Source organism: Homo sapiens, chromosome 5, assembly GCF_000001405.40.
Source record: "Homo sapiens chromosome 5, GRCh38.p14 Primary Assembly".
Classification (NCBI taxonomy): domain Eukaryota; kingdom Metazoa; phylum Chordata; class Mammalia; order Primates; family Hominidae; genus Homo; species Homo sapiens.
The window spans coordinates 121106472-121118807 of record NC_000005.10 but is presented as its reverse complement, the minus strand read 5'-3'; the positions used below and the strand labels follow the sequence as shown (position 1 = coordinate 121118807).

Here is a 12336-nt window from a genome sequence, read left to right as displayed (position 1 = left end):
AAATAACACTTAACAGTTAAGCTGTATACTCATTTTCCTTAGTGGATATTTATAAAATAAAAATGGGTGGTTATAAACAAGAGGGGAACAAATGGATTTGCAGAGCAATTTTGCTATACTTTGAAAATATGTTTACATTTTAATTAGAGCTTACATAAAATCTAAGCTGGTACCCCATGGAATATTGTAGTCACCACTCTCATTAAAGGAGTAATTAAGTTCCTAATTACATTGGTTTATGTCCTAGATAACAGCCAAAAATAAAGACATTCTGATCTAGGACTGTATTCTCTAAAATGAACTAATTACACGTGTACATTCATACATGTATGCCTTTTTCATACTGTTCTGCTTTTCCGAAATGGATTTTCTCACCCTTTCTGCTTGACTAAAACCCTACTCATAATTTAAAGTTTAGCCTAAAGATTTAAAAATCATAGCTTTTCATGACTTTCACTTTATTTTCATACATAAACCCCAAACATTCTTTTCTCTTTTTAAATTTTACATATGTACAGGAAAATGTTATTTGAAGATTTAATAAATACAAATACACAAAGAAAAATATTAACATTCCATCTTTCCTCACTCAAATTTCACATTCCTAGTCAGAGGTATGTATTATCTTTATTTTGGCAAACTTCCTTTACATACATATATTTGTATACAAATACACTCATATACACACAATATACACACATATATGTGTATAAATGTATATACACACATATTTGCTACATAGATAGTTTTTTTAATCACCGATATTATCATGTTCTATGGTTCTGCAATGTGCTTTTACTTAATAACACACTTTAAAAATCTCCCTATTAGTACATTGAGCTTCAACAGACTCCTTTAAGAGGATACACACTGTCGTATAACATGGAAGGACCCTCTTTGATGTAAAAATGTACTTATAAATGGACACCTAGGGTTTTAGAATTTTCCCACTATTACAAAAGTGCTGTAAAATATACAAAAGATAGTTTACTGAAATGCTGGTATTTTAACAAATTGATCTCCAAAAAAAACCAATTTATGCTAAAACTTATGAGTACTCATTCCTCACATACTCATTAGCACTCTAATTAATCTTTTAAATTCTGCCTGCTTTATCAGTAAAACAGTTATTTCATTGTTATTTAAATTTTGCATTGCCCTGATTTCTAGGAAATCTGAGAATAATGTTTTCATATGTTTACTGGCCATTTGTCCTTTTTGCATGTTCATTTCCTTTGTATATTATTTGCCTAATTCTTTGCTCTTTTCATTTTATTTTTCTTATTTGTGTCAGAAGAGGTTATAATATAGTTCACACATTATCTAACTCACTTTGTAACAACCTATATTATATCCTCTATTTTACTGAATTTAAGCAATTATAGATTTCATTTCTTTCTTTCTAGACTTGTAAAAATAAATAGCAGAATAGAAACTTTAAATCTATAAACAAGCAATACAAATGTCACATACAAGTGCAAAGGATCACTTTTCAGGTTAGGACAGCTGGGGTAAATATATGGCGGGGATGTGAAATAATAAGGATGCATTCATAATTTGGTGGCATATTCAAATATTTTCTTGTAAATATTTTACTTTATTTATGCTATCAATGCTGTTTCTAGCCACAAAAATAATATGTGCTTGAATAACTAGAAATCTGAGCATCTGATACAGAAATGAGTATAGTAGCTGGATAATAACTTAACTTTAGAAATTTCAGATATATGTATAAAATTTGAATTAATCTCTATAATAATCTCAGTAATAACTAGATAACTAACACCTTACTATTTGCTAGGTATGATATTTCCATTTCTCATAAGAACTCCTCAATTTACAATTCATTTATATCTCCATTCAAGAAATTATACAAATGACTAAGAGAGATGGAATAATTTGTCACAGGTTCTGTATCTGGCAAATGACAGCTCTGAGTTCTAAACCTGCTTTAAGTGACACCAAAGCCTAATTATATTCTTCCAAATACCCTTGTTTCTCTGGAATCCAAATGTGTCTTCTTCAAATATCTAGACTTACAACTTTGTGGTATTGAATTTTGGTAGGCAACTGCGATGGGTAGAGTAAAGATATCCATGTCCTAATTACTCCATTCTGTATATATGGAAACCTACATGGTAGAGGGGATTTTACCTCTGTGATTTAGTTAAGAATCTTATAATGGAGTCATTATCCTAGATTATCCAGTGGGCCAAATGTAATCACGAGGGTCTTTATAAAAGGGAGCCAAGAGAATCAGAGAGAATTTGAATGTGCTACTCTGTGGCATGGAGGAAAGCAAGTGGCCTCCAGGTGCTGGAAAAGACAAAAGAACCAATTCTATCTTTAAGAATGGTCTTGGGAGAATTGGTTCTTTTGTCTTTTCCTTCACCATGTTGGCCAGGATGGTCTCAGTCTCTTGACCTTGTGATCCGCTCGCCTCGGCCTCCCAAAGTGCTAGGATTACAAGCATGAGCCACTGCGTCAGGCCATATTTCAACTTAATTTGATGCTATTTGAATTAAACAATAATAAATTGAAAGTCACATACTTGCTTTCATTTCCTACACTTTACTATATTTTCATTATTATATTTTTTGAAAAAAACAACCAAGCATAAGAATAGAATTAAGCATAAGGGGTTTTACTTTTAACTTGACATTTATGAGAATGTCATTAAATGGTAAATTTAAATAAAATTTAAGCCTAACAACATTGTCATCATAGATTTTATAAGGGAGTCAGTAATTTATTGGGTGTGTTTCTCTGCTTTTAACATTTTTGATATAATTATTTTGATTGATGCTTTGTGTAATTTAGATAGAAATAGAAATTGTGATGGCAGCAGGACAATAGAGCATTTATTTCTTTTTTCTTTCCAGCTTTTTAAACTCACTAATTATAAAATTGTATTCTGTGACTATAAAAATGGGCTACTGAGATTTAAAAATTTATACTATATTAAGGTTAGCAGAGTCCTTAGATATTTATCCAACCCCCAACATTTGCATTTCAGGAAATTCAGTATTCCTAAGTAATTTATGTAAATCAAATAGTTAATCAAAGAACTAGGTATAGACCCAGAATCCATAATTCCTTAATATGTGTGTGCATGTAAATGTGTGTACATATACATGACATATATGTATACATACATGTTAATGTATATATGTATATACATATATTTATATATATATAAAGTATACATTTTATATTATGGGGCTTCATGAGACAGGGGAAAAAATACAACTAAGTAGGCATGCAGTCTCAAAACCATCAGTTTTTATTTCAAATTACTGACTAGTAAGACCATAGATATTTACTTATAAAAAAGGAAAATAGGCAAAAATCACTTCATTTGTTTTGAGCTATTTATGACAAGTGGACTGTAATTTTGAATTGTTTAAAAAACATAGTCATAGAGTCAAACAAATTAGCAACATGACAATGGTTAATAAGGGTAAATCAAGGTGAGGTTTTTATGGATGGACAAAAATACTTAGCAGTGAGAATAAGCTTAAGATGAAGCTCAAAGCAACCATGTAAGCAGTTAAACATTATTATTATATTATATATTGTTGTAGAGCTTTCCTGTGAAATGCTTATCTTTGCCTCCTATTTGTGCTTTCTCAAATTGTATCTGGTTTTACAGCACTTTTTAATTGTTTTGTTTGTATTGATTAAACATTATTTTGACATAGGATTAGAATAAATGTAGCAATTTTTATATTTAATATTTTTAAAGAGAAACATTTATTTAACTACAATCTTACTTCTGTATTAAATAGTCATGTGTACCCACATGACTCAATTTATTTTAACTAGTAATTTTTGAGTACCTTCTATGTAACTGATACTGTGCTTGATATTAGGGAAGCAAAGATAAATAGAGTCCATGATTCTGAAAAGTTCATAATAAGCCTCACTGAGATTAAAAAAACAAACAACATAATCAAATTATAATACCATATGCATTCAGTACATATAATTGTTGAGCATGGTGCCAGGAACCAACAGTGGTTCCCATCCACCCGAAACCATTTTGCAGCTGATGGAGGAGAAAGATATTACCCAAATGATAACACAGAGAAATGTGAAAATGCAAACGTTAAAACTGTGGTCAAGGAGAGATAAATAGTACCATGATATTTTGTAATGCGGGATGAGTTGAGATAGAGTTCTAGATGACGAAAGTTTTCAGCAGAGATGTGAAGAACAAAGGCATTAACTAGGCAAATAATTTGAAAAGAAAAACTCTCCAGCCAGAAAAAAAACTACATATAAAAGTACAAGAGGTTTGAGAAGTATGAGGAACTATGTGAAAACATGTGAGACAGAGAGATGATTGATCAGTCTGGCAGAAATCAGAAGATTGCTGAGGAAATAAGGCCAAGATAAGCAAATGGCTTACTGGGTTAAATACTGTTAAAGAGTAGAGAATGATAAGAATCGTAGAGGTCATAAGCAACTTAGCAGAAGTAGTTTCAGCAACTGCTGAATCAGAGAACAGAACCATACTGAAGTGAAGAGTCGTGAGGAAATAAAGACATCAAACTAAAAAAACTTGAATAATTTTGCTGTGAAGAAACAGAGATTTGTAGCTGAAGAGTGATAAGAGTTTGAGTCGACTATTTTTCTTTTGTATTTTATGGAAGAGCCTTAAGAAAATTTAAGAATTCTAGGAAAATGTTTAGTATTTAGGAAAGAGGGTATTTATAGTTAAAAGTCCTTTAAGACGGCAGGGGACAATAAAAATCAATCTCAGATGAGAGAACGAACAGAGACTCTATTTTTATAGTAAGGCTATAGGATAGATAAATATGTATTTGATTTTATGTCTGTTAACAGGAAAGTGATGGAATGGCAATATGTGTCTTCTCTGTTCTCTTTGAAGTAGGTGGTTAATTCAGGTGATAAACGTTAGGGTTATGGAAAGTTGAATGGTTAAGGAAAGTGTGCAAATTTAGAGATGCAAACAGTATATATGCAAGTATAAAAGCACAGTTGACCAGTAGTCATAGAAGATTACTAGGGACTGTGTGGACCTATTTAAAGATGGTGTTCATGAATTAATTGTACATCCAATCTGATCTTTCTCTGTGGCTTTCTGTAACACTGATTAACACTGCTCGGCTTGACTTTACACAGTCAGAAAGCAGATTTTTAATAAAAAGACAATGAGCCACCTACAATAAATCTGGAGAGAAGAAGGAAAGGAGAAATGTTGAGAAGTCAGAATACACAGGAATTGATCACTACATAGATATTATCTGCAAAGCAGAAAAATAGTCCAGGGTGACTCCTGGATGTTATTCATTATGATAAAGAATAAGAGTAAAAATAGAAAAAGCAATGCATTAGAGGAAAGAAAATGAGCTTTTCTTTCGAGATGCTGATTTTAATGTTTTCATGGACATTGGTATGGCAAGGAATAGATCTAACATTCAGCTGAATGTTGGATAAAATTAACCTCAACAATATTCTAATGTAGCAACACTTATTTGTTAAGCATTAACTTAGAGTAAGTCTTTAATTAAATTCTGAGAATAGATAAGATTTCTCAGGAAGGCCACCACAGATAAATTTGACTTACATATACTCTTCCCAATGAGTTGAAATAAAAGATTCCAGTGTTTTAGAATATCAACTAAATTTGTCCTACAATAGCATTTAGTTGTTGGAAAAGATCCCAAAATATAGGCCTGTATCCCTCTAGCCTAAGAATATATTGATGAAAAATATTTAAACATGACTAAAGTTTAAACATGACTAAAATAAAATCACTAGAGTATAATTTATATATATACATATGTATGGACTATATATTTCATAAATGTGCAAGACTGAAAACACGTGTACACATTTGAAGCAAAATGTGTATTAGATGGGTACTCTTACTGGTACTCAAAGCTCCCTTTTAAAGCTACCTTTAAATTAGTAGCTCTAGTTCAAAATCAAATTTTGATCTAGGTTCTATTTTTTCTTATGAATCAAGTACTTTGTTTCCTCTAACTTGAATAATGAATCATCCATATTAAATCCATTCATTTCATCACTCACAATAAAAATCTCTAACAAATTCATTAGTTTGCTGATAGTACCATTGTTAATGCATTATATAATATATATATATTTAATAAATTATGGTTTCACAAATAAATCACTATATAGTGCTATATGCGCATTTAGTCTGTCACATTTAAAAGTTTTTATTTTTATGAATTAGGACTTAAGTGATTTACGTTTAATTTGCAGAAGACAGATCTATCTATGAAAAGATAGTAATGATAGTAGTCAGTTCTACAGACAAGCCAAAATTTTTCTGCACTTTGTCTAATTGTGATAACTAATATTTAGTCATAACAGTATTAGATCTATCAGATTTTGCCAAATTTTACTTCCATTCATAATAATCTGAGGAAAAATGCAACTTGATTTTCCACTTAATATTATGTTAAAGTTAACACTTATACATTGAAGAACCAAACCGGTTAACATGGTAAATTCTGTATTAAAATGAATGCATTGCAGTGCTCTTGCTAAATGTTCTTCTTACATGTTCTAATTTGAGGTCTAGATGCATACTTGGTGAAAATGTGGATATGCTTTTCAGGGAAGACCATTCTTTCATTAAAAGAGAACATCCCTGCCACACACACACATACATATGGAAGTCCTAGATACTTTATTGTATATGTGATTATATAAAGATTATCAATAGCTTCTTCTGCAATTGGAAATTTCAAGACAGTAATTATGTGCTATCTTTACACATATCTACTTTATAATAATGTCAAACTAGTATATGCTGTTTGCCATGTTGAAGTACAAAAAGCAAATATTCAACTTAATGTTCCAATGTTCATAATTCAGAAACCCTATTGCCTTTCTCCAGAAAGCCATTTTATATAACATGTTACAACTTTCAGTAGTCAAAGAATAAAAGAGTCTAGTTTGTTTATACAGTACAAAAGATTTAGTTGGGATCATTATTGTGTCACATAAGTATCTGAAAGTTTTGGTTATTCTGCCAAATAACACTTAAAGAGAAAAACTTCATACCCTAAATCATCCATTTAGAAACTGAGGGAGTGCTTAGAGTGAGCAAGGAGGACAGAAAGCACTGTTCTCACTCTCTCCAAGGGGTAAGTCCTGGTTCTTCTCAACACTTACTACTTGCAGCTGAAATTTAGATATACCCTGAGGAAGATGGCAGGATATAGGATAGATAAATATGTAGTTGGTTTTACGTTTGTTAACCACAAATCTGGTTTCATTACTGGAAGAGTATTTCTATTCCTGGTTTTCCTTTAGGTTCAGCTTATCCTCTTACCTAGGAGAGCTTCAACATGCGAATCCTAGGAGAATAGATGTAGGGGTGAAATCAGCCTCCCCATAACCAGTTTTAAGACTGACCTTAATGCCTGTCTGAGAAATAACGTCTCATAACATGAAAGAACAGCAAAGTTCTGTTACAATAGGCCCTGCAACAAACAGCTTGACATTAGCACAAGTCTTGGTTATTTTTCCATATATTTAAACATTTTATACAAATATAAAAGTTCTTTTTGAATCTTTCTTCTCTGACCAACGTTTCATCTTTGAAAGTTATTAGAATATTTGTTGAAAGATGAACCTTAAAGTAGAGGTTAATTAAACACTGTAATTTTCATGGAGATTCAAGTTTAGGAATCATGTTCAAAAGTATTATTATGGTTACATTCTGAACCTTGTTACATGAGTATAGGCTTCAGAAAAAGTTATCAGGGTAAGACTTCATATAAGATATCTTGCTATTGATTATATAAATAAAATTTCATTCAAAGATTTGCTTTTATGCATTATAGTTTGCTATTCCCTGTATTTCAATAATGTGTTGTGAAATAATAGTCTTGTCTTAACCACATTCTGAATTAAGAAGGAACATGTACCCAGGCTTAAACCAAAACAGTCTGGGCAAACAGTAACATCCTGGGAAAGTTACTTTATTTTATTTATTTATTTTTTTGAGATGGAGTCTTGCTCTGTCACCCAGGCTGGAGTGGAATGGTGTGATCTTGGCTCAATGCAACCTCCTCTTCCTGGGTTCAAGTGATTCTCCTGCCTCAGCCTCCCAAGTAGTTGGGGTTACAAGTGCCCACCACCATGCCTGGCTAATTTTTGTATTTTTAGTAGAGACGAGGTTTCACCATGTTGGTCAGGCTGGTCTTGAACTTCTGACCTCAGATAATGCACCCGCCTCGGCCTCCCAAAGTGATGGCATTACAGGCAGAAAGTTATTTTTGAAAGAAAAAGAAGTAAGCCATAAAAAAGAAGAAAAGTGGTTCGTGAGAGTGGGAAGGATAGTGGATAGAAAAATTAACTATCAGTGACCAGAAGAGATTTATGAAATACACTATCTTTCTTCAGGGATTCCCAGAAATACCAGTAATACACTGAACTACCAGTAATAGACTGGGCTTTCAGCATTTAAACAGAATGTGACTGTTGCTACTGAGGCTTCAAGGAAAGTGCAGCCCCATGTGTAGAAGATCCTCTGATGATTCATGTTGCATGTTTTAATTTCTTGCATCTGATTATTTATCCTAGGAAAATATTTCAGTGGGGTTGGGGTATATGGCACATATAAAAGGTAAATAATTTTCAATGAGACAAAGAGATTTATAGAGGCTACTGCATTAGCAACTTTTTCTGCAAATCAGTGTGGAAATATAACAACAGAAAGGAATAACAGTTTTCTAGAAAGTGTTTTCCTTCAAAAGACACACAGTTTTCAGATTTGTGCTGAATCAGCATGGCTAAGCATTGGAAAAACTCACATTAGGTATCGTGGGAGAAAGGTGGAACTAGCCTTTGAAGGATTTAGAATCACAGTGATTGACTTAATTGAAACTGTGGGTCTAAGACTTCCTTTATTTTGAGTATGTGCAAATGTGAGAGGATGGTTGAGCATACTGTTAAATTTTCTATATTTGGTAACAGCATCAAAAGAATGTATCTGCTTTTCTAGGACAGGATCCATACCTTGCAGAGCAATTCCAATACCAAAGCTGATCATCTGTCCAGAGATGGTCATAAAGCTCACAGACCAAATCTGTGAAACATTTGTAAGTATTTAGCTACTCCTGAGTAGCTTTCACAGCTAGCTAAATCATTCTCTCCAAGTGGTAATTGTTTTGATGCCCCAAGACATTAAAAGCTATTAGAGTCTAACGACCCAAGTCTTGTTTTTCCTGTCAAGGTGGAAACTTTTTCTGATGCTCTAGCTTTTTTTTTTATTATTATTTAACTGGTTACTAGTCTTACAAAATACACAATTATGTCCATCTACACACCACAAATCAAATATATTCAATAAAATTATAGGTTTGGAAAAGTTATATTTTTAGTTCATTTTTTACTTTACTGAAAATGTCCTATATATCCAAAATAGTCTTTTTCATGTTCCAATGAAAGAGATAAGAGCATCATCAACTGACATAAAAACCCACATGTAGCAATGTTATTTTTGTGGGTTTTTTTTTTTTTTTTTTTGCTACCAAGATTTGCAGTCCGTATTTTAACAGAGCTTTTTAAACTTCACCTGGTGAAACCTTTTGTCATAACCATGAGAAAGTGGGCACCGGTTTTATTTTATGTTTTTTAGGTAATTATCTCCTGAAGAAGAGTCCAAGCAATGGCAGCAGCCGCTCCAGTCAGACTGCAATCATCCCAGCTTCAGCAGGGAGGTGTGGCTGGGGCTGCCCTATCCACACAACAGGGAGGAGCCCCGCCCTTTTGGGCGGGGCTGCAACAGCCCAAACCGCCGCTGCAGACTCAGGCATCCCTGCACTCTTGAGGGCCTGAGAAGGCGGCCCCTGCCCTTGCAAGGCTCGGAAATGCCTGCCCTGTCTGCCTGGCTTCGCCCTGCTGTTGGTGCCCCTTGGGATCTCAGAGCAAAGTCGGCCTAAGCCTGGGAGCCAATAACAGCGGGAGGCAGAGTCCTAGGCAGAAGGGGGTGGGTCCCTGGTAAGGTCCCTGCCTCAGACCAGGGAGCACCTGAAGGCTGAGGGGTCAGGCTGCCAGTCCCACTGACTGGAGTGGGAACTGGTGCCTTTTCCAGGCCTGCCCATGGCCACCCATGGGCCAGTCAGCACACACTTCCCCTCTGAGGCCCATAAAAAGCCCCAGGCTCCCCCAGAGCTGAGCAGAGGCCCGGCGGACCAGCAGCAGAGAGGAGCTACTCTCTCTGCTAAGAGTGTCATAGACTTGCAGAGACCTGCAGAGACTGCCAAACTGTGTCCGGAATTGGTGGGTTCTTGGTCTGACTTCAAGAATGAAACCGCGGACCCTCGCGGTGAATGTTACAGCTCTTAAGGTGGCGCGTCTGGAGTTTGTTCCTTCTGATGTTCGGATGTGTTCGGAGTTTCTTCCTTCTGCTGCGTTCGTGGTCTCACTGGCTCAGGAGTGAAGCTGCAGACCTTCGCAGGTGAGTGTTACAGCTCTTAAAGCGGCGCGTCTGGAGTTGTTCGTTCCTCCTGGTGGGCTCGTGTTTTCTCTGGCTTCAGGAGTGAAGCTGCAGACCTTCGCGGTGAGTGTTACAGCTCACAAAAGCACTGTGGACCCAAAGAGTGAGCCGTAGCAAGATTTATTGCAAAGAGCAAAAGAACAAAGCTTCCACAGTGTGGAAGGGGACCCCAGCGGGTTGCCACTGCTGGCTCGGGCAGCCTGCTTTTATTCTCTTATCTGGCCTTACCCACATCCTGCTGATTGGTAGAGCCAAGTGGTCTGTTTTGACAGGGTGCTGATTGGTGTGTTTATAATCCCTGAGCTAGACACAAAGGTTCTCCACCTCCCCACCAGATTAGCTAGATACAGAGTGTCAATTGGTGCATTCACAAACCCCGAGCTAGACACAGGATGCTGATTGGTGTATTTACAAACCTTAAACTAGATACAGAGTGCCAATTGGTATATTTACAATCCCTGAGCTAGACATAAAGGTTCTCCAAGGCCCCACCAGAGTAGCTAGATACAGAATGTCCATTGGTGCATTCACAACCCCTGAGCTAGACACAGGGTGCTGATTGGTGTGTTTACAAACCTTGAGCTAGATACAGAGTGTCAATTGGTGTATTTACAATCCCTGGGCAAGACATAAAGGTTCTCTACGTCCCCACCAGACTCAGGAGCCCAGTTGGCTTCACCCAGTGGATCCCGCAGCGGGGCTGCAGGTGGAGCTGCCTGCCAGTCCTGCTCCATGCACCCGCACTCCTCAGCCCTTGGGTGGTCGATGGGACTGGGCACGGTGGAGCAGGGGGCAGTGCTCATCGGGGAGGTTCCGGAGCCAGGGAGCCCATGGAGGGAGTGGGAGGCTCAGGCATGGCGGGCTGCAGGTCCTGAGCCCTGCCCTGCAGGAAGGCAGCTAAGGCCCGGTGAGAAATTGAGCGCAGCGCCAGTCGGCTGGCACTGCTGGGGGACCCAGTACACCCTCCGCAGCCGCTGGCCTGGGTGCTAAGCCCCTCATTGCCCAGGGCCGGCAGGGCCGGCTGGCTGCTCCGAGTGCAGGGCCTGCCAAGCCCACGCCCACCCGGAACTCCAGCTGGCCCTCAAGTGCCACCGGCAGCCATGGTTCCCGCTCGCGCGTCTCCCTCCACACCACCCTGCAAGCTGAGGGAGCCGGCTCCGGCCTTGGCCAGCCCAGAAAGGGGCTCCCACAGTGCAGCAGTGGGCTGAAGGGCTCCTCAAGTGCCGCCAAAGTGGGAGCCCAGGAAGAGGAGGCGCCGAGAACGAGCGAGGGCTGTGAGGACTGCCAGCAGCTGTCACCTCTCAATACGACCTGCAGACCTGCCTGAGGAGAGGAGCTCCCCTCTCCAGGGCCTCCTCTCTGCTGACAGCAGCTGACCTGGGCACTGCCAGTGACTAGAAAGGAGTTACTCTCTCTAGGGCCTCTTCTGTGCTGAGAACAGCAGACCTTGGCACTGCCAGTGGGTAGAGAGGAGTTACTCTCTCCAGGGCCTCCTCTCTGCTGAGAGCAGTGGACCTTGGCATTGCCAGTGACTAGAGAGGAATTACTCTCTCCAGGGCCTCCTCTCTGTTGAGAGCTGCACACTTCATGGACGACCTGCCTGCCCACAGAGGGGAGCTTCCCACTGTGGATCTCCTTCTGAGCTGTTCTAACTCTAAATAAAGCTCCTCTTCATATTCTTCACCCTTCGCTTGTCAGCAAACCTCATTCTTCCTGCCTGCAGGACAAGAACTCAGGCAAAGGGCAAAGGTGCCACCAGCAACAGAGGTTTCAGGGAAAGAAAACTGATACCCTAAAGATCCTATAACACAAGCGTGGTGCAGATATTC

General features: G+C 37.7%; 2 annotated features.

Annotated features, from left to right (window-relative positions):
* Nucleotides 11069-11568: an enhancer, noted in NCBI's record as "H3K27ac-H3K4me1 hESC enhancer chr5:120442935-120443434 (GRCh37/hg19 assembly coordinates)". NCBI's record gives its function as "activates a minimal SCP1, AML or CMV promoter by ChIP-STARR-seq in primed H9 embryonic stem cells {active_cell/tissue: H9 hESC(primed)}" and the evidence as "EXISTENCE:reporter gene assay evidence [ECO:0000049][PMID:30033119]".
* Nucleotides 11569-12070: an enhancer, noted in NCBI's record as "H3K27ac-H3K4me1 hESC enhancer chr5:120442433-120442934 (GRCh37/hg19 assembly coordinates)". NCBI's record gives its function as "activates a minimal SCP1, AML or CMV promoter by ChIP-STARR-seq in primed H9 embryonic stem cells {active_cell/tissue: H9 hESC(primed)}" and the evidence as "EXISTENCE:reporter gene assay evidence [ECO:0000049][PMID:30033119]".